General features: G+C 35.9%; 1 long non-coding RNA gene across 5 annotated transcripts in view, besides 1 other annotated feature; it reads left to right on the top strand.

Annotated features, from left to right (window-relative positions):
- Positions 1-27811, top strand: part of LINC02663 (long intergenic non-protein coding RNA 2663) — a 434814-nt gene that overhangs the window by 261637 nt on the left and 145366 nt on the right. The gene's annotated exons all lie outside the window — the stretch shown is intronic.
- Positions 2836-2895: an enhancer, noted in NCBI's record as "active region_2990". NCBI's record gives its function as "activates an Ori minimal core promoter by ATAC-STARR-seq in GM12878 lymphoblastoid cells {active_cell/tissue: GM12878}" and the evidence as "EXISTENCE:reporter gene assay evidence [ECO:0000049][PMID:35858748]".

Genomic DNA, 27811 nt, shown 5'->3' with positions numbered 1-27811 from the left:
AGAGGTGAGAAAGCTGCAGGAGAAAAGTTTGAAGCTAGCAGATGCTGGTTCATGGGGTTTAAGGAAAGAAGCTGTCTCTGTAACATAAAAGGGCAAGATGAAGCAGCAAGTGCTGATGGAGACGCTGCAGCAAGCTATCCAGAAGATCAAGCTAAGATCTTTGATGAAGGTGGCTACTCTAAACAACAGATTTTCAATGTAGGTGAAAGGGCCTTGTATTGGAAGAAGATGCCACTTGGGACTTTTATAGCTAGAAAGAAGTCAATGTCTGACTTCAAAGCTACAAGGGACAGGCTGACTCCCCTGTTAGGAACCCCTGCAGCTGGTGACTTTCAATTGAAGCCCATGCTTATTTACCATTCTGAAACTCCTAGAGCTCATAAGAATTTTGCCAAATCCACGCTGCCTGTGCTCTGTAAATGGAACAACAAAGCCTGCATTACGGCATATCTTTTTTATAGCAAGGGTTACTGAATATTTAAAGCCCACAGTTGAGACTTACTACTCAGAAAAAAAAAATATTCACATGGTGGCTTAAATAACAGAAATCTATTTCACACAATTATGAAAACTTAAAATCAAAGGCCAGCGTGCCAGCTGATTCTTCAAGAATCTCATGAACGAGATTTCTGAGAAAGAAGGCCTTTTCACAAATACTGCTTTAATATAGTTATTTGAAACAAAATGTGGGTTTTCTTCTTTAGTTTACATCCTCTTTCCACTACAGTGTCTTGTCTTATAAGGTAGATTAAATATGTCTCTGGTATCTTCTCATTCTCCCTTCAACTTCCCTCTCTTTTGTCCTAAGTCTTAGCAACCCATTTATGGGCTCAAGTCCTATTATTTGTTCCATCCTTATCAGATCTTGCTCTCAATCTCCCAAACTATTGGTGGATTTTCAGAAATTAACCTTAGGCATAAATCTCCCAGCCATGTCTGCGTTTTGTTAGAGAATTCTTTGGAGAGAGGAAATAACTCAGCCTGCAAGGAATGAATTATAATGTCGATTTTCTGGCATAATATGCAGTGGTGGGGAAACTGCTTTTGATGAGGAATCCTGTTTATTGCTATAAAACCACACTACCTTGGGCAATGTTAAGGGTGGATCAGGTGGTGAGGTTATGTCTGTGAGTCACTTTAATGCCCCCTAGGGCTCAGGGATACTGGAGACTGTAGTATTCTCAGTCGAGGAGAATCTGATGAAGAATTAATTAGTTAGGGGAACAAAATCTGAGAGCATGAACTACACAATTCTATACTGGATGGAGCAGTGATGGGGAAAAAAATCCAACATCCTATTATCTAGTCTTACATGAAAATGTTGTCTACTTCCCTTCAATTATATGACAGAATGAGCTGAAAGCAGCAAGTTTGGGTTTTTGATATCTTTAAGTATGTTTGTTTGCCTGTTGGTTTATTACCTTCTTAGTAATCAACTCTTTGTCCTGAAGAGTAAAATTAAGAGTATTGTACATCTACAATCTAAATTCAATAATGGTTGACATACTCTATAGCATATTTTTCTTCCTGACAACTTTGCACTGTTGAAATGATTGCGGTTTTACTCTTCTAAGACTCTGTGTGGAACTCATACTTTATAAATGTGGAAACAACCTTAATTTAGAAAAGATACAAGCCAGATAATTAAGAGTACTTTACACATATCTTCCACCCCAGAATTGCAGAAAGCTACCAAAGCAATCACAACAATCAAGATAAACTCACATTATACCTTCCAGTCAGCAAATGCTTATCCCTCTTTTCAGGAAGGTAACTCACTAGCTCAAAAAGTTTATTCACTTGTACAAGGTAAAAGGAAGACACAGGACTGTGAATTTGATTTATCAAACTGATCAGAAAAAAATTCCAAATGTACTATATTCTCTGTACTGTGTTCTCTCTATATGTATAAATGTACTATATTCTCTAAGAGAAGGCAATGGTGAGAGCTTTAAAAATATAATATCTCGCTATCCTACAAGTCCAATGTTGACCACTCTAAATCACCATTTATCTAAATGTTAGATCCGTTCAAGTTTTATGTCCTGAAGGACCTTCTGATTTTGTCCATAATGGTATTTGTGACTTTATAACACTCTTATTTCCAAATGTGACTACATTTATTACCTTAGCTCTTAATATCTCTTCAAAAATAGAATCTGATATCCCAACAAATGTATGTGGTATTGCTGATTTGCTTCCAGTTTTTGTCTGAGGCCATTTCATCACATTTTTTTTTCACATCCCTCTGGCTTTTTCTTGTTTTCTTTCAAAGAGTTTAAATTTTCAGTGTTTGCATGGAGCCATATATCCCACCTTGATCCAGTCATGTAGTTCCCACTGACTTCAGTGGAAAGGCCACGGGAGGACTGAGGGCAGTATTAGCCCTGAGAAAAACTCATAAATGGACCAGCATGCCCATCTGGTCTTGAAAGCACCTTTAGAAACTGTGATAGAGATATTAGGAAAGACAGGACAGAGCATCAGAGGGATTTTCTTCTCTCAGATGCGACTAAAACAAGAACGGAGCCAAACGGCCTATTTCTTGCTTTAAGGAACGTTAGCAGCAGAATGGGAAAGACTTGAAAGAATTTCTCAGCTGCAAAATTTCACTCCAGGGACTATTTCTTTGAGTAGGCTCCGGCTACTTAAATTGAAAATGAAATTAAGCATTTTCAGAGATTTTTCTATTCCTCCCCTGCCAGCATCTCCCAAATCGCCTGCACTAGCAAATGAGATGCTTGGTAAAATATGGCCTTGAAAGACCTGCCACCCTCCTTCCTGCAAGTGGAGTGGCTATTTATTACATTTCATTCAAAGCTGTCATATACACTTCCTCCACTGTGATATAATTTGTATTTAAAAAAAAATTCTTAAAATTGGACTGATAGTGAAAACAATGACTCAGCTGAAATTTCTAACAGTTTCAGAAACAATGAGTGTAAGTGACAAGATGAGTCAACGAGGAACTCTCAGAAGTTTGAGATCGGTAACAAACAATATATTATATTAAGCACTCACATATTCATGTACCCTACCTTCCATCTAGTTGTATTTCAAGACAATGGTCCCATGTAAAAAGTCTCCCAGACCCTTTTATTGTTCTCTAATAATCTCCAATTGCATGAGAGCTGAATAGTTGATTCCTGAGCTAGTTAGAATAAATATAATGAAACAAATATTTTAAGATATATAAACGTCATCTTATATTCTCTTCTCAGTAAATACGATTTGAAAAACAGCAAGAAATCATTTTTATTTCTATGATATGAATTTCTTGTGGGGAGGCACATTTCTTTCCATAATGTTCTTTTATACTTAGAATAAAATCCAAATTTTGGAATAAAATCTAAATTTCTTACCATGACTTAAATGGATTATTTTACATGAAATGGTTCCTGGCAATTTATTCTCTATGACTTTTCTCCTTTTTAAGTCTTCTGCTAACTGATTTGCTGCTCCTCAAATAAGCCAAACTTGGAGCCTATGGCTCCATACACTTCGTTTTGAATTCTACTCAAATATCATTTCACCAGCAAAGTCTTCTCTGACTATATGATTTTAAAAAGTATATTTCTACCAACCTGTAACCCTGAGTAATATTTTAAGTAAAGTGATAAGTTCTAAGAAGACATGTGCTATTTCTGAAACCTCTACACCTAGACCAGGGTATATAGGGAAAACTTAACACATAACTGTAAAATGAATGCATTTGTGAATCTGTGAAGTCATTATTCCACTATTTCATAATCCAGGTTGGTAGATTGCTTTATGATTGGTTAGGTTAAACATTTTAGGGGCGACTACAACATTGGTGATACTGTGTGTATTTTCCATTGTTTCACATCAGAAGACATATCAGTTTGTCCTGATAATTATTAAGATGGTGATGGCCAGAACTCTCACATGAAGAGTTCTCTTTTGTCATTGTCGTTATAAGACATTGATGGAGTGATACTTTGAGATGGTGTGAATATTCTGTTCCCCAAGAAACATTCACTCAAAATGTTCAACATCTTTGACAGACCTTGCTATAATCAGTTACTATATTTGTGGTTGCAAAAGGTGGTTTATTTAACTCTGTATGTTTTAGCTAGTAGTTTTTTTGCTCTCTCTCTCCATTTTGCTTTCTCTTTTTACCTTTTCCTTGCTCTTTTCCTTTTCTTTATGGTTTCGAGCATTTCTGGGGACTCATGGAGTCTTTTGTATTTTGTTTATTGTAATCTGTTATTTTTTTTTCAGTGCTTTCATTGTCTACATTTGGCCAGTGAAAATCTCCTTTTGACATGTCCAATTAACTTACTTTCTTTTTCTCCCCTTTCTTCTCCTTCCTCTTCCTCTTCTTCTTCCTCCTCTTCCTCCTCCTCTTCCTCCTCCTCTTCTGCTTCTTCCTCCTCCTCTTCTTCTTCTTCCTCCTCCTCCTCTTCTGCTTCTTCCTCCTCCTCTTCTTCTTCTTCTTCCTCCTCCTCCTCCTCCTTTTCCCTAATAGTACAACAAGATGTTTCAAGCTCAACTTGTACTTTCTCTAACCTAGTCCTAGTATTAGGCATTTGTCCATGGCACTCTAGTTTCTAGAGAATTGTATTTATTTAGAAATCAAGATCTCAATGATTATTGTGTCTATTGTTACTGAAGTCTTTTTTTTTTTCTTTTTTCTTTTTTTTTCTTTTTTTTTTTTTGAGACGGAGTCTCACTCTGTCACCCAGGCTGGAGTGCAGTGGCACGACCTCGGCTCACTGCAAGCTCTGCCTCCCGGGTTCTGGCCATTCTCCTGCCTCAGCCTCCCAAGTATCTGGGACTACAGGCACCCGCCACCACACCCAGCTAATTTTTTGTATTTTTAATAGAGATGGGGTTTCACCATGTTAGCCAGGATGGTCTCGATCTCCTGACCCCATGATCCACCTGCCTTGGCCTCCCAAAGTGCTGGGATTACAGGCGTGAGCCACCGCACCCGGCCTGTTATTGAAGTCTTATGCTTCTAGACAACTTAACTTAGTAGAGCTAAGAAATACTGTATAAGATCACAAGATTAAACTGATACCTCCAAATCCAATCTAGTACTAAAGAGTTTTCTCCCCCTCTCCCCAATTATTTCCATACTCCTAATTTAATCACAGCAAAAATCCTGGCTCCAAACAGTAAATATAGTTATACAGGTGCTCAATTCTAAAATTTATACAAAAGCATACATAAATACTACAGCAAGTTAATACTACCATTCATAATAAACCTATTAAGTAACATTCAAAATTTCATTCAGTTTTGTTTTTCTTTAGACTATGTCTAATTCTAAATTTGTACAATTGGAGCACTATATTCAGAAATCACATATGTTTTCCAAGGATTATATTATCAATTTCATATAAAGCAAGTTTCCTTCATTTTTGTTTATATCCATATTTAGGATTTTCATGTTTATTTTGCTTTTGCTTTTATTTTTAATGTATACAATTACAACCTAGTTCACAAGCCAACATTATATAACATAGTCAGGTTTACTGGTTTACTTAGAGAAGACTTTCTCCTATCCATTCATCTCCACCATTGCCAGCTTCCCCACTCCCCACGTACCCATTTTCAATTGTTACTGGCTTATATCATAAGTTTCTTTTTGAGAAAAAAGTCAAGTTCTTATTTTCTCTCTTTTTTAAACCTACGTTTTTCAGGCTGCTTTGCTTTTTAAAACTATATTCTTATCAGTTCAGTTCATAGGATATTCTTCAATCTTTAAGCTGCTTATTACTCTATATATTTATAATATTTATTCAATCCATCTTTTACGGTTGAGCACTGAGGTAATTTTTTATATACTGCTATTCAAAAAACTGCTGCAATAAATAACCTTGTGCATCTATAGTTTTGTATTAGTGAATGTGTATTTTCAAAGTAAATTGTATTGCTGACTCAAAGGGTAAATGTAGATGTAATTGTGTTACATAGTGCCAAGCCCCCCTCCTTAATGTTAGAACATTTTGCATTCCATCAAAAATAAATGAGAGTGATCTTTTATTGACAAATGTATTTCTCATTGTTTTAACCATTTCCTATGACAGCAAGCAGAGTGTCTGCAATTTAGTGGCAATTAAAAACATGGTTTTCATTCTAGATACCTTCACCATTTGCATCTAAGTGCTTTCCAACAGGATGAGAAGAAAATTGTATATAATTTTTTTTTAAGTTTTGTAGAGCCATATTAGAGAGAGAATAAATGAACTTGGAAACATATTTGATAGCATTCTTTCAAATATCAGGCAATATTTTAAAAATTACCTGCCAATGAGTTTTTTCTCCAACCACATAGGAATTCAATAAAAATCTTAGTATTGTGGTATGTAAATCCCTGCACCTTTGATCATACATGTAAGAATATGGTAATAATCATGTGTTAATTCTAGAACCAGGATTTGAAAATAAACTGGGAAATGAGGACAAGAAATCTCCCAGGAACGCACAACCACCCTCCTACCATTTTGTTAGAGGTGACCGAGGGGACACAGGTCACAAAATGCTGCTGCTTAAGAGACTCACTTTCTATTAATGAGTGAAGGGGTAAGGCCCACATCAAGGGGCTGTTCCAGTTGAGAAGCTAACAGAGTATGTTATGCTGAGGACTAAATGCCAAAGTAAACTAAACACGCATTAAATAATAGCGCCTTCAAACTTTCGTACTGTCTCAAAACCAGGGCTAAACCCGCTTTTGAATTCCATCTCCTCGAGCAGTTTCATTTATACTTCTTAGTTGTTCTGTTGAATTATAACAGAAAAGACAAGATCATTTATAATGATATCCTAGCTGTTGACAACCTGCCATGATAAACCAATACTCCTAACATGAGTTTGCTGCATTGGTCACAAGCACTGAATAAACATTTATCAGAGTGCCTTGGATAGGTCTTTTAGTAAACAGTGGTTTAAAAACTATTTTAAAATGTATTCCTTTTGTATTTCTACTACCGTGTGAATCTGTTTTTCCATTCACATTCAAATGCTAATTGATGGTGTATATTCTTAGGAAATGTTGCTGTTGATGTTGGTTAATTCACAGTAACCAAGTGGTGCAAATTCAGATTATATGTTCAATTACTTTAGTATATTGTTTGCCTTCAGTACTTGTCATCAACCAAATGTTTTTTTGTTTTATATGTGCAATAATTTTTGTGGCAATTATGTTGCTATGAATCACCATGATATCAGCCTTCCCAAACGTTGTCCCTGTATTATATCACTTAACCCATTAATTTGTAACTTTCAAATATTATAACATTAAATGCCTTAGAACAACTTACATTTTTCTCAGTGGGCAAATAACTTAAATCTAAGGAATAGAGCAAAGTTATACTACTCTAAATAAATCCCAGTGTCATGTTAGTGGACACAATATAAAGTGAAAATAACAAAATGTAATGCATTAGCCTCCATCCTCTCCAAGGTACTCTTGTTCTGAATAGTAACAGGCCTGTTTTTCATGAAAATCTTTTTTTTTTTTTTAAAGATAATTTCTACCACAATCTTCTTCCAAAAATATTAACTTCAATCAAATTCTATTATACATTTTAACTATCAATTGATGCCTTGAAAGTAAGGTTTTAAAAAAATCTATTTTAATAAAAAAATTCACTGTATATTTTATGATTGTTTTACTATCCCTTTGCCAACAGCTCCCTCTATGTTCCACAACACAGATACTTCTTTTTCATCCTCTGGAATACACTCTTAGAAAAGAGCTTAAATAATTCAGTATTATATAGAGAACACCAGGAATATAGATTTTTTGATGCCCCTATTTTCAGAGGTGTGACTTTTTGTTTAAACTAGCCTTTTATTGTTTTTGTTCATTTTTAAAAGATTGATTCACTTAACTCCAATTTTAATTACATTTTACACATATGACTATCTTAAGTAGAAAGAACTGGGATCATGGAGGCAGACATAATATACTAACATATTTGACAAGTTTCCTTTCCCTGGAAATTATGTGTATTCCCTATTTATGTCAATATTTCACTAGTAGGATAAAATTAAGCTGGGTTGACTTTTGAAATGAAACATAGTTAAGGAGGAGGACATTTTGTTAAAACAAAGCTAAGTATCAGTTAGTGGAAAAAGCTAACAACCAACCCCAGAGGCCACCCCTAATCTAACTAAGCAATTATGGAAGGCTTACAATTTTGTGTGGGAAAAAAATACAGTTAAAACAATGATCTGTGAAATAAAATTTCACAGTTGTTTTCTTTGTGTTCAGTAGTATCAAATGCGTGAAAAAGTGACTGCCAAACCACACTTCCTGCAGCATCATTACTTACTCCCTGCTCTCTTTTCTGTGGACTTCAGAATTCTTAACACAATATTCCAAAGAGCCACAGGGTTTGCATATTAGATAAAAGCTACTAAGTTACATTAATATCTCCCCACTGGAAAATATATTTTAAAATTTTGCTGAAGCAAGTGTACTAAATTTTTGCTATAATAATTTGGAAGTTTATGCACCATGATCAAACTAGTTTGTAAAACTATTTTATACTGTATATAAATATTTTTTAATTTGTAGCTTAAAGTTAATTTCAAGCTATTCCGTCCCGTTTTATCAAGATTCCAATGTGATCTCTGATAAGGAATTTGTTCTAGATTACTTGATTACACAGAAATGTATACATTTAAACTTATATTTATATATAAATATATATGTATATGTATATGCATATGTATATTATGTATGTATATATGCGTGTATATATACACATATAATTATGTATGTATATACATATGTGTATATATGTATGTGTATACATATATACCTACACATACATAGACACACGTGTAATGATTTTTGTGGCAGTTTTATATATATATGTGTGTGTATGTGTATCTATCTATCTATCTATCTATCTATCTATCTATCTATCTATCTGTCTATCTATATGCATTGTACCTAAGTGGGATAGAAATTATAGAAAGTTGAGTATTATGAAACAAATATCTGTACCCACATGGAATGCATATTAGAACACCTCATTTTCTTACTTAAAATATTTTTCACAAAAACCTAAATTAAAGAGATATTCTTTCCATTTTAAAAACTGGTAAATTGAACATCAGAAAGTTTAGATAATTTACTTAAGTTACACAGCTAATGTATGTCAAAGTTGAAATGTGTCATACATTTGCCTGATTCCTAAGATAGGGTTCTTAACATTCCTGCGATATGGTCTCCTTTTCAAGTTGGCCCCTAAATGTGGTGCAAATGTTATTGGGAAAACACACCATACATGTTATTTGTAAACTATATGGTCTATGATCTTTGTAAATTACTTTGTTCAAACAAAATTGTACTAGAGGAAAAGACTATTGTCATGGTTACTCAAAAGGCTGCTGTCTCAAATATAAAAATGAGATTTACAAATTAAAAAATCCACATTCAAAAATCTCAAAAGGCTGGGCATAGTGGCTCATGCCTGTAATCCCAGCACTTTAGAAGGCCGAGGCAGGAGGATCACTTGAGGCCAGAAGTTCAAGACCAGCCTGGGCAACATAGCAAGACTCTGTCTCTAAAAAATAAACAAACAAAATCTCAGCAGCGAGGTCAAGAAATATGAACAGAGAATACACAGAATAAGAAATACAAAGATCTTATCAACAGAACGACACAGCAGTAGTCCAAGAACAGTAACTAAATAAGATGTTACATATTGCTTACCTACTGGCATAACATTTTTATAGATTTATAAAAGCTTGTGTTTGTGAGGATATAGAGTAAAAGAATCTCAAACAGTGATGACAGAATTATATATTATATAAACCATTTGGGAGGACTGTATATACATTTTAACTCAAGTATACTTTTAGTAATCTATCTCATAAATATGCAAGAAAATATGTACCAAGATGCATATTACAGCTTTATTTGTAAGAACCAGCTCAACTTGTTGAAATTTGGAAAATGTTTAAAGAAGATACTGATCATCCATGTTGTAGAATAAAAGAATGGAATGGGTAGTATGTAGAAACATTGAACAACATTCATAATGTTAAAAAACCAGAAATAGTCTTAATAAAGTGTATGGAATATGACCTTGTTTCAAATATTATTCACAATGGTTAGTCATAGGCAATGGGAACTGGAAAGGATAAAGGAAATATGAGGAGGTTTCCTTACATTGAACTCTATTCAATTCTGTATTTTAAAAACTTTCAAATATATATATTTTCTATTTGTTAAAAATCAATAACTTTTTTAAGTTTTTTTTCCCACTGGAGAATTTGCCTCTTCCCCTGAGCTAACAGTAACATAGGTAAAGCAAAAAAGTTCAAAAGAAAGCAACAAAGTTAGGTATACTTTCTACTTATTCTAAGTTATATCTGTTTATCTAAGATTACAACAGAACAGAAGCAAGTCCTGTTTAGAAAAACATCATGGCAGTGTGAATTTGAAAGCATTGCTTCTCCATAATACAAAATAAGTGACATTGTATAATTAAGGAATGTAAGTTTAACATATAACAGATAAAGTACCTTTTTGGAAGTGAAAATGCATTATCATCTCAACCACAGGAGAATATGTAATTCAAGTGTTGTAGGGAACTCTAGAAAATTAATTGATATTTGAGCTATCACCAACGTAAATAAAAGAATAACTTAGTTACAAAAATAAAACAATCAAGGCACACCTAAATGCTAAATTTCTTTACTTCTTTTATTAATCCTATCTCTTCTTCATTCCTTTCATACATAACATTCCAAAGAAATGTATGCCTTCTTAAATCTCAGGATTTCCTCAAGAGGCTCCTCTGTCTAGAGACTCTTATGCTCCCCTGACAACTCTGTTAGTAGTCGTTTTCCTCTAGGTTAGGCTACCTAGAGGAAAATGATTCTCAAATTCTCAGGGGCTTACAATTAACACATGTTTATTTTTTGCTCCTGCTCTATGAGGGCAGTTGTCCTGGGTCCTGTGGGTTTGCAGGCAGGGATCCACATGTTTTAGCATTTCAGAATCCAAGCAGGAGGAATTGCCACTGCATGGAACATGCTGTTCTCACAGTTGAGAGCGGAAGTGAATAAGCCTCCAGATTAAATAATAGCATTTAAAACTTTTGCTTTGATGTAGCAAATGTCATGCCCACTCATCCCATTGGCCAGAGTCTGTCCCATGACCCAGGGAAGCCACTGACTGAGAAATCATGAAAGGCAGGGAAGATTAGTATAATTATGAACATATCTTGCTATCTATTGTTGTTACTGAATTATGATAGAACAAGTTGATCACACTTTTGTTATTTTCTACTTTTTTCAGTCTCTTAAAAGGTATATATAAATCACCCCAGTGGTCAAGGGGGTAGCCTTGGCCGGATGAAGCACACACATGATGCACACACAAATGCAAACACCCACAAAGTCAATACACAGTCATCGGGAGCCCATTTCCACCTTTAGCATGACTAAGATGTCGAATAACAAACATCCAGACACCTAAAGGATGCCTTTTATTCAAAGCGTTGGTAGCAGAGATTAACTAGAGGCAAGTATTAAATGAACTCAGTTTGTGTTCAGTGAATAAGGAGTTGGAAGGAGACTCATCTGCAGACGTTATCTCTTGTGAATCCAGGCTTGTTTTTAGCCTGCCTGTAAATCCTCAGCTACAGTCACCATTTGCTGTATATTTCTTGGTATAGCTATCATTACCCATTTTCAATGTGAGACAACTTGCATATCCCACTGATAACTGAAACACAACTGTCAAAAACAAAAATTTCAAACCTAAATAGTGAATATAAAAAATTGCTGAATGGTATCAGTATTTTAAATTACATAATGAATTACAGTTCAGTGTCATACATTTGTCTTTCTCATTCTCCTTGACCTAAGACCAATGAATTAAAACTTAATTGTGACTATAAAACATATGAAAGGGTTCAAACTGGAGATTTGAACGAATCCAACACCTTAAGCTTTTAATTTAAATAAGCAGAAAAAAATTATACAGATGAAAAGGGCTGCTGATACCAAAAAACTTCCCCAGCAAAGTAAAACTTTGAAAGTTTAATTTTCCAGAAAACCGTGACAAAAAACGGAAGGCTTTGGGGATATCAGTAAAGCAGGGGGAGTCTCTTACGTTTTCTGTTTTCCCTTCTGTGGCTTACACTGTGTTAAGAATGATAATCAACTTTAGTAAATATTCAGAAGCCTACTGAAATGAATGTGAAAGAGAAATGACATAGTTAAAACTTATATTAGTTGCCCTAAAGGAATTAAAGTTTAATATGACATTTATTGATCAATAAATGCTGACTGGGAAATTATCTTGGAATTGAAAATGATTGTTACTTCTTCCAATTCACTTAATTCATATAGCTTGGACTGGTAGTAGATATGAGAGGTCTGATGCCTGGCTAGAAGCAACAATGTGGAACCTCATCATTAAAAACTGTTGAGGCTCAATTTACGTAGCTGTATCTTCAGCTTTTGTTTACCTGAAAGAGAAATCAATTCTTTCTGAGTTATAGGGAAGGAGAAAAGAAGTTAGCCTCATATATCTCTTCAGAAAACTTGCTTCTGTGATCTCCTCAAATACTGTGAGCTGTGACCCACCCCTACACCTTCCCCCACACAAGTCACATGGCACAGCAAGGGTGAAACCAAAGTCAGGGTTATAATGAGAGATCTAGCGGGATTTTTTTTAGATGCAATTACACGTGCAAGTGAAATCAAGATGTTACACTTAAACGGTAGAAGCACCACATTCAAAGTCCAGAAAATAAGACCAAAACAAACCATAAGAATCAAAAGTTGAAGACAAGAGAAGGAAGTTGAGTGGAGCTTAATGTAATTTGTTGAGTATGCACTTTCCTTCTCTTGGGCTTTTTTTTTTTTTTTTTTTTTTTTTTTTGAGATGGAGTTGCGCTTTTGTTACCCAGGCTGTATGTAGTGCAATGGGGCAATTTCGGCTCACCGCAACCCCTGCCTCCCGGGTTCAAGCGATTCTCCTGCCTCAGCCTCCCAAGTAGCTGTGGTTACAGGCGTGCGCCACTACACATGGCTAATTTTGTATTTTTGGTGGAGACAGGGTTTCTCCGTGTTGGTCAGGCTGGTCTCAAAATCCTGACCTCGGGTGATCCACCTACCTTGGGTGATCTGCCCGCTTCGGCCTTCCAAAGTGCTGGGATTACAGCCGTGAATCACCACTTCCGGCCGGGCTATTTTTAATAAAACCTATCTAAACTTTGCTACTCAAACTGAAAAGCCTCTTAAAATTTATTGGGACTTCCTCCCAACAATTTAGCTAGGGTGATTCAGCAATAGTAGAGGTAGAATCAGACATAAGTGGATTGAAGTGTACACTTCAATTTGAAAATTGAAAAACAAGCAAACATGGAACACGTGAATGTAGAATACTCTTCTGAGTGGTTTAAATAAAAGGAAAAGGGAAAGTTTTATTTACGTGTGAAATTGAGAACAGTGCCAAGTTTTGTGGCAGGCACACACTTATAAGACGTTTCTTTTAGAATAGAAGGGATATAAAACCTGGGACTAGGCTAAGAGAAAAGATGTTTGAGAAGGAGACTTAGAAGATGTAGGAAAAAGGAGAGATGTGCTGATGAACTATGCCCTTGGCTTCTGTCTGCTTCTGGGGTCAAAGATCACGAAGCCATATTTGGTGTCTCTTTGTGATTTACAATCCACCATATCTGGTACGTCAGCAATTATTAGTGTTACCTTCAAAATAGATCCTGAATCTTACTACTTCTCACCACCTCCACTGCTAACATTTTAGCAATACCAACATCATTTCTCCCTTTGACTAGTGCTGTAGCCTCTTCAGTGACTTCTGTATGTCTGTGCTTAGCTTTCGCAGATCTTTTACTCCATATATGGTCTCAGCTAAAGTAGATCCTGTTACTTCTTTTTTCAAAACATGCAATGGCTTCGCATCATACTTAGAAAAAACCAGTTCACTAAGGCAATATAATCCCTGCTCATCTCTCCAGGTTCTTTTTGTTTTAACCCTACCCGCCCTCCCTTACTTTACTCAAGCCATACAACCTTTTTTAATATCCCTTGAACATGTCAACTACATCTGCCTTAGTCTGTTTAGGCTGCTAAATAGAACAGCATAAACTGGATGGCTTATAAACAACATAAATTTATTTATTACAGTTCCAGAGGATGGGGATTCCAAGATCAAGGCACCAGCAGATTCTGTGTCTGGTGCAAGCCAGCTTCTTGGTTCATAGATGATGACTTCCTGCTGAGTGCTCACATGGTGGGAAGGGATTAGCTAGCTCTGTGTCCTCTTCATAGAAGGGCACTAGTCCATTAATGAGGATTCCATCCTCATGACCTAATTACCTCTTAAAGGGCCCTCTTCCTAGTACCATGACATTGGTGATTTGATTTCAACATATGAATTTTAGGTGCACACAAACATTCAGATCATAGCAACTTCTTAACACAGACCTTTCACATTTGCTAGTCCAAGAGCCTGTGTAGCCTCATAACTTATCCCTCCATTCATTCAAGATTTTATACAAATAGGTTTTCAGAGAGGATTTCTCTGATCAGAGAGGCTAATCTCTATCATCTTACACAGTTTTATTTTTTATAGTACTTATCACTACCTGACATTTTAATGTATTTATACTGTAACATGATAGGTATTTACTATACTATGTGATTCTAATAAGAGCAATACACTTTTTTGTTTGGTATTTGACCAAATGCTCTGTGCCTAGATGTTTATGCAATAAGGAGGCTACCTTAAAGAAAAAATAAAAATCCAAATAAAATGTTATAAAAATAAATATGTACTTAAAACAAAAATGTAAAGGACAATCTTTTCTATTTTTTTTTTTTTTTTTTTTGCTGGGTTCTATCAATGTCTAATTTATGAGCTATAAAATTCACTAATTTTAAGTGCATCATATGAATTCTGACAGTTGTAAACTCTCCCAACACCCAGCACAATCACAATATAAAATGTATATATCACCCCCCCAAACTCTCTTTTATTGTCAATCACCTCCCCCAACTCCCAGACCATAGCAAACACTGATCAGTGGTCACTCACTACAGTTTTGCCTTTTCAAGAATTTCATCTAAATGAAATCAAATAGTTTGTAGAGTTTTATGACCGTCTTCTTTACTTAGCATATTCAAGATTAATCTATATTGTGGCGTAGATGAGTTGTTCTTTCCTTTTCATGGATATTCATATTTCATTATATGCATATACCATGTTTTTTTTTTTTTTTGCCACCCCTCAGTTGGTGGGCATTTGAAAACTTTCTAGTTTAAGGCTGTTACAAAGTACCATTGAACATTCATGTGTGAGTCTTTGTAAAGATAAACATTTTCATCTGTGGAGTTGTGCGGCTGTGTCATATGATAAATGCATGTTTAACATTATGATAACATCCAATTGTCTTCCAAAGTGGTTGCATGATTTTGCGTTCATCCTAGGAGTGATTGAGTGTTACAGCTCTACTGTGTCCTCACCAGTGCTTGATGTGGTTAGCCTTTATAGTTTTTGTCGTTCTAGTAGGTATGTAGAGGCTCACTGTGGCTTAAATTTGCATTTTTCTTATGACCAATGATGTTGAACGTTTTCCCTATGATATTTGCCATTCATTTATTTCTTTGATGATGGGTCTATTGAAGTCTCTTGACAATGCTAGTATTAATATACATAAATATAATAGTCTGTTATATATCTAGAAACATGTCTCTTTATCAGTATATATTCCATGAATAATTTCTCTCTGTCTATGGCTTGGGTCTTTTACTGTCTTAGCAGTTTCTTTTGAAAATAGAAAATAATTTAAATTTGATAAAGTAAATTTTATCACATTTTCTCTAAAAGAAATACATCTAAGTACAATGCCTAATACAATGTTCCAAGTAATTTCTCATATGATTTTTCTAGATGTTTTACAGTTCTAGCTCTCATATTTAGAAATAGGATCTTGAAAATAATTATTATATGTTTTTAGGTAAGTAATAAGTCTTGATTACTTTTCTGCCTATGATTATTCGGTTTTCCCAGCATTATTTGTTGAAGGATTACTCTTTTCTCATTGAATTGCCTGGGTACTTTTGTTGAAAATCAAATATATGGGTGGGTCTGTTCCTGGACTTTCTATTCTGTTCCATTGATCTATTCATCTATCTTATTCTCATATCACACTGTTGTATTTATTGTTACTTTATAGAAAATCTTGAAATCACATAGTTTAAGTCCTCCCTCTTCATTCTTTTAAATATTTTTCTGTCTTTTAATTTTCAATATGTGTTTAGAATCAGGCTGTCAATTTATTTTTTTAAAAAAGCTCATTGCAATTGATTGGGATGATTTTGAATCTATGGATTTGGTGCTTTAATATTTGGTCTCCCAATCCATAACATGGCATATCTCTATATTAATTTATCATTTAATTAATACCTCTCAGCAATGTTTTGTTGTCAGTGAAGAGATCACATATATAGCTTGATAATTTATCTCTATGTGTTTAATAGTTATGGATGCTATTGTAAATGGTATCTTTAAACATCAGTTTCTGATCTTTCATTGCAAGTATACACAAATGCAATTTATTGACATTGTATTCTACTAGTTGACTAGTCTAAATGTTTTCTAGAACCTTTTTTGTAGATTTTGTAGGATTTTATTCATAAATAATAAACATAGTTTTACTCTTTGTATTAGTTTCTGAGGGCTGTCCTAACAAAATACCACAAGCTGGGTGGCTTAAGACAACAGAAATTTACTGTCTTACAGCTCTGGAGGCTAGAAACCCAAAATCAACCTTTCAGCAGGGTTGGTTCTGCCTAAGAGCTGTGAGTCCCAGGCATTCCTTGGCTTCTAGAGTCCTCATTCCAATGTTTTGTCTTCACATGATCATCTTCTTATAAGGACAGCAAATTGAAATAGAGGTCTACCTTAGTCCAGCATAATCTCACTTCAACTAATTACACCTGCAATTACCCTATTACCAAGTAAGATCACATTTCAAAATACAAAGGAGTTTAGAATTATTTTTCATTCTCAAATTTTATTTTCTTGTCTCATCAGTATCTTAGAGTTTAAGATGTCCAATTGACCCTTGAATAATGCAGGGATTAGAGGTGCCAATGCCCCCTTACAGCTGAAAATTCACATGTAACTTTTGACTTTTCAAAAACGTAACTACTAATAGCCTGCTATTGACCTTACAGATAACAAACATATGATTAACACATATTTTGTATGTTACGTGTATTATATACTGTACTGTTACAATAACGTAAACTAAAGAAAATGTTATTTAGAAAGTTATAAGGAAAATATATTTACTATTCATTAAGTGGAAGCAGATCATTCTAAAGGTCTTCATCCTTTTTTTACATTGAGTGGGCTGAGGAAGAGGAAGAAGAGGAAGGGTTGGTCTTGCTGTCTCCGGGGTGGCAGAGATGGAAGAAGATCCACACAGAAATGGATCCGTGCAGTTCAGCTCTGCTTTGTTTAAGGGTCAACAGTATTTATCACTAGCTATTTTAATGTAAATTTTGTCTTTTCTCTTTAAAAATTTTCAGTGAAGGGATCATATTTTTCTTTCTCTCCATGGGATTTAGTAGCTCACTCGTTACATGGTGTGCAGTCGATGTACTTGTTGATGGGGTAATGGAGAAATGGACAGGTGAAGGTAAAGAACCACTGCTTTAGCCCTATAACTAGTCCTAAGTGTCATTGATTTATATTGAATACTGGAAGAAAAAAATGTTATAATAATGTGATTGTCATCAGAATGATGAAATAAGTTGGAGTCTTGAAGGTATATGAGCATTTTTGGCACAAACGGTCTCTTCCTATTCAACTCAATCATTTAAGGTTTGCTAAACTCTGTTATAGGAAATAGACAACATTGGAAGACCAATTCATACACAAACGCTAACACATTTTACAAAGCAAGTCCTGGTATTTTTAAAGCTTTCTGGGCTTCTAATGTATCCATGCATCATTCTCTCCTAGACATTTTACATCACAATATCCTTTATTCTTTCATTGTGAGACTATTTGTAACACCCCTAATTTGGTGCTGTGTCCTTTAATCTATTGTTCTCAGTATTTTCACATTATAATTTTCTGCTCCCTTTTCTCCTTATTATATTAGTCGATCTTCCTACATTGGTGGACTAAAACCATTATGCATGTGAAATTTATAGCAATTACTGCTTTGAGTGTTAATAAGTATTTATTCTGGCTTTATTAGGAATAATGTTATGATGATGAGTTACAGAAATGTGTGAATTGGTAATAGGGCCTTACAAAATAAAGCATTTGAAACTATTGCCAAAAGCAAAAGTAAACATAGCTAGTTTCTTTTAAAATTCCTTGCTAAAATAAACATATAAAAGTTGTTAAATAAAAGTACTAAGGCAGGTTTTCAGTTACAGTGACAGAGAAAGATTTTTTAAAATGATATTCATGCTATCATTTCTGAGTAAAAATTGTTCTAAAACCCTGAAATGCACTTTTATTGTGTTTGCTTTTCTTTAACAGAATATTCCACAGCCCTAGCTTAGAATAACTATGGTTCTTCTTCTTTCCCCTAGAGATACTAGACAAATGGCTCTAACAGACAGAAGCAGTTTGTTCCATGACCTAAGACCATGCTCAGATACACAGGTTACCAAAAAGGTCATACTTACACCCAGGTACAGGACTTTCAGTCATGTATGTGAATAGCAATTGGTCTCAGAATCAATAAAAGGCAAGGCTGGTGACAAAGGTGATGGAACTGGAGGATAATAACATGATGACCAGCCTTAGAACAAGTCAGCTGTTGTATATGAGAATTTCCGTTCAAATGAAGTGTTTGATTAGGTAGCCTAGTTAGACCCCAGTGGCAACCAGGATGCCAAGATATCTGTCAATAAGCATGAACATCTCCAATTTCCAAGAATACTGTGACAAAAGACACACAATGCTTGTTCAATTACTGAACTAGATAATGGTTTTAAAATTTTGAGCTAAGAAATTAAAATCTGGGAGATTTCTACTTTGTCCTTTGCTACCAACTACTATGAGGTCTTCATTGAGCATTCGAACCTCATTGTATATTGGTTTCCTAATGTGTATGATGAAAATGATGATGTTGAACAATTCCTGAGGGCCTGGCAATTAATTAGCATTTATAAAATGCTTTAAAGAGAGGTGCCTGTGAGAGCAAACTATTTAATGTAAACCAATAGAAGGCTGATGAGCACACCATCTGAATGTGAGCTCTGTATCCACTGAAATAGCTGGAACTGATAAAAGTGACAGTTGGAACTTAAAAATAAGTTTTAAAATCCTGCAATTAATCTAGAATTCTCAGGACTCACAGATAGCTAATTATCATGACTTTGCTCTTCAAAGCACATTGTAACAAGCTCTAAGTTTTATTCTGATCATTCATTTCAGTGGTTTGGCTTCTGTCCATAAAAGAAAGAGCAAAATAAAAGATCATCCAATCACTCAGCTGCAATAATCCTTGTATCCACCAACAGTGATTTAAAAATATGTATTTGAGAGAAAGTTAAGCAGGTGGAAGAAGAGAAATTGATTTGAGTGATAAACAGGTGGACCAAAAGAAAAAAAAAAATAGGAAGATGACTTCCTGTTTCAGACAGAAGGGTGGTATATAAAGGGTGGAAGAGCTGGCACCAAGCTTAGTGATTAACACACACACACAAACGTGACACACTGTGAGTCAGCAGGTTGGGTCCAAATAGCCTGAGAAAGAACATTCTGTATATACCCTGCCTCTCTTCCACATTGTCTTCAGTAAATAATTGCCTGCTGCTTTGCCACCAGGGAGAAGGGAGGCAACAACACCACCTAAAAATGAAAGCAACCTCAGAGGCGCACCATCCGCAGCCTGCAGGAGGGCAGTGCTTATGGCCACAGGCAGGTGGATTGACTGACCCTGACAGTACCCTCCTGCCTTCTTCGGCATTTCAGACATGCAGGCTCTTTTCAAAAATAGGTCTCACAGCCACATCAAAAAGTCGTTTGTGTCTTGGGAAGAGTCCCAAAAGCCATTCTTTGATCAAAGAGGATGGGGTAACCTGAAGAGTGGGTGAATAGAAATTAACTCTTTTTTTTTTTTTTTTTTTTTTTTTTTGAAAAGGAGTCTCGCTCTGTCGCCCAGGCTGGAGTGCAGTGGCGGGATCTCGGCTCACTGCAAGCTCCGCCTCCCGGGTTCACGCCATTCTCCTGCCTCAGCCTCCCAAGTAGCTGGGACTACAGGCGCCCGCCACTACGCCCGGCTAATTTTTTGTATTTTTAGTAGAGACGGGGTTTCACCGTTTTAGCCGGGATGGTCTCGATCTCCTGACCTTGTGATCCGCCCGCCTCGGCCTCCCAAAGTGCTGGGATTACAGGCGTGAGCCACCGCGCCCGGCCGAAATTAACTCTTTCAGCCTGGAGTCAGACTCCCTTCTACCACATCCATTCTTGAAAGCCAAGAGAAAACATTGATTTCCAGGGCAGCTCGGGGGCCTAAGAGAAGAAAGGTTTATAAAGAAAATGTGCAGTGTAACTGCAGGGTTTATGCACGATAAAGCAAAGATCACAAGTGGGGTTGCCCCTGCCAGGGTAACCAGAATACATAAAATAAAACAGGAATCTAGCTGGGTGCCATGGCTCATGCCTATAATCTCAACACTTTGGGAGGCCCTAGTGGGAAGATGACCTGAAGCCAGGAGTTCAACACCTGCCTAGGTAATGCAGTGAGAACCTCATCTTTAAGTTACAAAACAAGCCAGGCATAGTGGCCCACACCTGTAGCTCCAGCTATTCAGGAAGCTGAGGTGGAAGGATAGCTTGAACTCAGGAGGTCAAGGCTGCAGTGAGCCATGATTGTGCCACTGCACTCCAGCTTGGGCAACAGAGCAAGACGCTGTCTCAAAAAATTTTTTAAAAAGAAAGAATCTAAAGTAGCATGATAAATCTTATCAAAAAGATAAAAGTTATTACAAATACTAAGCAGAACTGAACTGAAAAAAGAAGTGAAATGGATATAAAAAGTATAAATGTCAAAATATATGAAATAAATAACATATAGGAGGCACTGAATAGAAGAGTGCATATACTCAAAAAATAAGGTAGTGACCTACATCAAACACACTCTCACAAAAGACATCGGAAATAGATGAAAAGATAAAAAGAATGGGAGACAAGTTAAGAGACATGATAAAGTAAAGTAAAAGTAATGTTTCATTCAGGGAGCTTGAAGTAGTAAAGAGAGTAAAAGGGAAGATAAGAAATATTTAAAAATATGAAACTAAAGAAATAAGTAGCATCATATTGAAAGGGTTCAGAGTGCTAAAGATAATTGCTAGCACAAGACACATTCTAGGGAAATGTAAGCACACAAGTCCAAGATATATATATATATATATTTTTTTTTTTTGAGACGGAGTCACGCTGTCACCAGGCTGGAGTTCAGTAGCACGATCTCAACCCACTGCAACCTCTGCCTTCCAGGTTCAAGTGATTCTCCTGCCTCAGCCTCCCGAGCAGCTAGGACTACAGGCGCGTGCCACCACACCCAGCTAATTTTTGTATTTTTAGTAGAGACGGGATTTCACCATGTTGGCCAGGCTGGTCTCGGTCTCCTGACCTTGAGATCCACCCGCCTTGGCCTCCCAAAGTGCTGAGATTACAGGCATTAAATTGGTATATTTAAACATTCACATTAAAACTTCTTATCGATATATTTGGTTTAATATCTTTCATGTCTTTAACTGTTTTCTTTTTGTTACATCATTACACTTGTCCTCTGTTTTTCTCTTTTCCTCCTTTTCTGCTTTCCCTGGTTTTAAGTGAATATCTCATATGCTCTAATTTAACCCCTCTCATAGCATATCAATTGTTCCTTTAAAAAATTTGTTAGTGTTTGCCCATGAGGTTCTAATAGACATTGTTAAGTCATCTAAGTCCACTTTAAAGTAACGATATAAGGTTTCACGTTTCCATCATTTTCATGGAGAATTCCCAGTTATTCCCATCCATTATGACATTGCTGTCTCTAATTTCCCTTTTCCAGATGCAGTAGTCACACAATATATAGTTGTTATTATGACTTTTTAAAAAAAGGGTTCAGATGAATTAAGATTTAGGAAAACAAAATACTTTATTTTTTCCTCATTCATTTCTTCTCCAACAGTCTTCTATTTATTTATTTATATAAATCTGTGTGGTCTAAATGTTTACGTTCCCTCAAAATTTGTATGTTAAAATCCTAACCTCCAAGGTGATAGTATTAGGCAGAGGGGACTTTGGGAAGGTAATCGGGTCATGACGGCAGCGCTCTCATGAATGGGGTTTTTACCCTTATAAAATAGGCCAAGGAGGCTCCTTCCTCCTTCCCCCTTGTGAAGATACAGCTAGAAATTGCCATCTATGAAATAGAAAGCAGGCTTTCACCAGACACCAAATCGGTGGGCACCTTGAATTTGGATGTCCCAGACTTCAGAAGTGTGAGAAATAATGTTTTTTGTAAGCTACACAGCTTATGGTAGTTGGTTATAGCAGCTGAAATGGACTAAGAAACTAATTTTCTGACTTATTTTCTGATTATTTTTCAATGCTTGAAGAACTCCATTAAATAATTATCTGAATATTTCCCTCAAGGAAGATCTGATGGTAATAGAGCCCCTGACTTTTTGTTTGTCACATAATATCTTTATTATTCCTTGACTTCTGAAAAATGATTATTTTCTGGATACAGAAGTCTATGTTGTTGTCTTTTCTTTTTCTTACAACAATTTAATATTTCACTTTGCTCTCTTCTTGACTGCATGGTTTCTGGTAATAAGTCCAACATATTCTTTGTCCTCTATAGATAATGTTCCCCTGGGCTTCTTTTAAGATTTACTCCTTGTCTTTGGTTTTCTGTAGTTTGAATACAACAGGGCGAGGGGGAAGGTTTTTTTAGTTATTTATTTTAAATTCTGCTTGGTGCCTAATGTTGTCTGAGTTCCTTGGGTCTGTAATTTTGGAAAATAGTTGGCTGTTAATACTTTAAGTCTTCCTTCCTGCCCTCTTCTCGCTATTTCTTCTCTGGTATTTCCAGTGCACGTATGTTTAAATTCTGAAGTTTTTCACAGTTCTTGGGTGTGTCCTGGATTTTTAAAATTCTTTCATCCTGTTGCATTTCAATTTGGGAAGTGTTTATTGGCATATATTTTAGGTCATTGATTCCCCCTTTAGTATGTTTGCTGGAGCTACAGTCTACCAGCAGAGGAGCACAGCAAAGGCAGTCTTCATTTCTACCACTGTGTTTTTATTTCTAGCATTTCCTTTTTATTCTTAAAGTTTCTATCTCGATTCACATTATCCATTGTTCATCCTTGTTGTCTACTTTTTCTGTTAGCCTTACTATATTAATCATAATTATTTTAAATTCCTTCTCTGCTATTTCCAATATCTGTGTCTTACCTGTGTCTCATTCTGGTGTTTGTTTTATTAATTTAGATTGTATTTTTCCTTCTCGTTTCTAGCAAGTGCTGTAATTTCTTGTTACAAACTGGACATGATGTGTCATGTTTTTGTAATGAAGGTAAGCAGTCCTTTAATGTGAAAGTTTATGTTAATTTCTAGGATTTAGATTGTGTATGATGTTTGGTGGAGCTCTAGGTGCCAGAGGCCTCAGTTTCCTCTGTGTCTTTATGTTACTGTCTTCCAGCTTTTTCACCTGTAATCCATTATGATCATACTGAAGCCTTAGTGATGTGTTGGTCAGGTGTGAGGGAGGGAAAGTATACTGTATTCCTATGATTCCGTCTGTCTCTTGGTTATGACATTCACAAATGTTATTTCATTGCTATAGCTTTTGTGGCAGGAATGGGTTAGCCCTTAACCCTTACTTACTGGGATAAGGCTCTCCTATATCTTTTCCTCTGAAGAATAGGTCTTTGTTATGGAGAATGCCTGGGGCATAACCACAGTGATTATTCTTCTCCTCTTCTGCAAGATCCATGAAATAAACATTCTTGGATCTTTACCATTAGAACCTGGTTGGGTTTCTCAAAATAAAACCTATGAAAGTGTGGAATCTTCCTATGACCTTGTCCTGCCAGGAGCTTCTCCTTCTTATCAGTTAACCGTCGCCCTGCAGTAATTCATCAAAACTATCATCTTAGTGTTCCTACCCATTCGTGGGTGCAATGAAATCTGTCCCAGGTAAGCAGATCTCAGCTGTGACTTTGGATTTGTCTGTTTCTCTGGATATTTAGGTGAGAGCTTCTCTAGAAACTTAGGTGAAAGGATAAAAATATTTGTATAAGCAATAATTGAAAATGTATATAACTCATTATATAGATTATAATGAGTAGTCATTATTTTGAGGTACCACAAACAATGCTCATAACAGGCAGTGAACTTAATAAATGTGTGTATTTTCACAGCTTCACCATCAGCCTTTCCCAATCCTCTCTGTCTCTCTCTCTCTGTCTCTCTCTCTCTCCTGGGGCCTCCCTATTCCCTGAGACACAATAATATTAAAATTAGCCAAATTAATAATCCTACAACAGTCTCTGTGTGTTCAAGGGAAAGGAAGAGTCACATGCCTCTCACTTTAAATCAAAAACTAGAAATGATTAAAGAAAAATGAATAAAAATAAAAATAAAAATGTGTCTCATAAACAAATTTTAGGCCCAGATAATTTTGTAGAGCAGTATAATAGTTAACAAAAGAGTATAATATCTTCATAGTATTTAGATTTTTCAAAATTTAAAATAAAAGAGAACAAGTGTTTCCAACTAAGGGAATTAGACTTTTACAGATTAAAAAACCACATAAGGTAAATATTAAAATATAGGTTAAATATAACCTAAATATAGGTTAGCTTCAAATATGACTACTTAAAAATTCTAAAGATGTGTAAATTAACAAAACCCAACAGTATATTAATATACGTCATGATAAAATTGGGTTTATCCCAGAAAATTAGGCTTGAGGGGATACCTAAGCCTAATTAGGCTAATTAGGGGGACCACCCTTTCCACTGGCTTTGTGTGTTCATGTGGATGACTGTTCACTAAGATGACATTCCTAATCCTCTCTATCTGACCCTCCTGGGTTATTATTTATGGGATATGAAACTTCAAAAAAGTAACTGAGCATGTTCTTCTCAGGCAACTTGTGTGACTGTTCATTTGGTGGATTTTTCGGAGCTCCGATTTTCTTTCTGCCATTTGATAAATTCTCTGTAAAAGAGGTATAAACATTTTGACAGTGGCTCTGTGCCAGTGACTCTGTGCCAATGACTCTGTGTGTAAATCTGTCTATTTTAGAAGTAAAGTAATAGAAATGCATTGTTACTGTGCGTGTAAGCTACATACAGCCATACCTCATTTTATTGTACTTTGCTTTGTTGTGCTTCATAGATGTTGCATGTTTTACAAACTGAAGATTTGTAGGAACCCTGCATTGAGCACATCTGTGAGCACCATGTTTTCAACAGCATGTTTTCACTTCATATCGCTGGTCCCATTTTGGTAATTCTTACCATATTTCAAACTTTTTCGATATTATTTTATATCCAATAAGGTGGTCTGTAATCAGCAACCTTTGATGTTACTATTGTCATTATTTTGGGGTGCTACAAACAATGCCCATAACAGAGAGTGAACTTAATCAATAAATGTGTGTGTTTTGATAGCTCCACCATCAGCCTTTCCCCCATCTCTCTCTCTCTCTCTCTCTTTCTCCTGGGGCCTCCCTGTTCCTTGAGACACAACAATATTAAAATTAGGCAAATTAATAACCCTACAGCAGTCTTGAAGTGTCAAAGGGAAAGGAAAAGTCACATGTCTCTCACTTTAAATCAAATACTAGAAATGGTTAAGCTCACTAAGAAAGGCACGTTGAAAGCTGAGATAGGCCGAGAGCTAGGCTTCTTGCAGACAACAGCCAATTGTGAATGAAAACAAGTTCTGAAGAAAATTAAAAGTGCTGTTCTTGTGAACACATGAATGATAAGAGAGCAAAACAGACTTATTGCTGACATGGAGAAAGTTTGAGTGGTCTGGATAAAAGAACAAAGCGGCCACAGAACTCCCTTAAACCAAAGCCTAATCCACAGCAACGTCCTGACTTTTTTTCAATTCTATGAAGGCTGAGAGAGGTGAGGAAGCTGGAGAAGGTAAGTTAGAAGCTGGCAAAGTTTGATTCATGAGGATGAAGGAAAGAAGCCATCTCTATAACATAAAAGTGCAAGGTGAAGGAGCAAGTGTTGTCACAGAAGCTGCAGCAAGCTATCTGGGAGATCTAGCTAAGACAAGGTGGCTGGACTGACAATAGATATTCAATGTAGATGAAACATCCTTCTATTGGAAAAAGGTGCCACCTAGGACTTTCATAGCTAGAGAGGAGAAGTCAATACCTGGCTAAAATGCTTCAGAGGACAGGCTGACTGTCTTATTAGGGGTTAATGCCCCTTGTTATCTTAGGTGGAAGCCAGTGTTCATTTACCATTCTGAAAATCCTAGGGCCCTTAAAAATTATGCTAATCTACTGTTTGTACTGTATAAATGGAAACAGAATTACTGACATAGAACCTACCCCTGGTGAAAGTCCTGTGAACACAGTTGAAGTGAAAACAAAGGATTTAGAATATCACATATACAGTAGGTGCAGTGGCTCACACCTGTAATCCCAGCACTTTGGGAGGCTGAGGCAGGTGGATCACCTGAAGTCAGGAGTTCAAGACCAGCATGGCCAACATGGCTGAACATGGTCTCTACTAAAAATACAAAAAATAACAAAGAGCAGATATAAATCCACTCATATCAATTATTACATTTAATGGAAATGAATTAACTCCTAAAAATCTGAGCACTGAGATTATCAGACAGGACTTTAAAATAAGAACTAGAAATCACTGCTCAAGGAAATAAGAGAGGACACAAACAAATGGAAAAACATTCCATGCTCATGGATAGGAAAAATCAATATTGTGAAAATGGCCATACTGCCCAAAGTAATTTATAGATTCAATGCTATTCCAATCAAACTACAATTGACTTTCTTCACAAAATTAGAAAAAAACTACCTTAAATTTCATATGGAACCAAAAAAGAGCCCGTATAGCCAAGACAATCCTAAGCAAAAAGAACAAAGCTGGAGGCATCACACCACCTGACTTCAAACTACTACAAGGCTACAGTAACCAAAACAGCATGGTACTGATACCAAAACAGGCATATAGACCAATGGAACAGAACAGAGCCCTCAGAAATAACACCACACATCTACAACCATCTGATCTTTGACAAACCTGACAAAAACAAGCAATGGGGAAAGGTTTCCCTATTTAATAAATGGTGTTGGGAAAACTGGCTAGCCATATGCAGAAAACTGAAACTGGAGCCCTTCCTTACACCTTATACAAAAATTAAATCAAAGTGGATTAAAGACTTAAATGTGAAACCTAAAACCATAAAAGACCCTAGAAGAAAACCTAGGCAATACCATTCAGGATATAGGCATGAGCAAAGACTCCATGACTAAAACACCAAAAGTAATGGCAACAAAAGCCAAAATTGACAAATGGATCTAATTAAACTAAAGAGCTTCTGCACAGCAAAAGAAACTATCTCAGAGTGAACAGGCAACCTACAGAATGGGATACAATTTTTGCAATCTATCCATCTGACTAAGGGCTAATATCGAGAATCTACAAAGAACTTAAACAAATTTACAAGAAAAAATTAAACAACCTCATCAAAAATTGGGCAAAGCATATGAACAGGCACTTCTCAAAAGAAGACATTTATGCAGCCAACAAACAT

This window comes from Homo sapiens, chromosome 10 (genome assembly GCF_000001405.40).
Source record: "Homo sapiens chromosome 10, GRCh38.p14 Primary Assembly".
Lineage (NCBI taxonomy): Eukaryota > Metazoa > Chordata > Mammalia > Primates > Hominidae > Homo > Homo sapiens.
The sequence above is the reverse complement of the archived record's forward strand: the minus strand, read 5'-3'. Positions and strand labels throughout refer to the sequence as shown.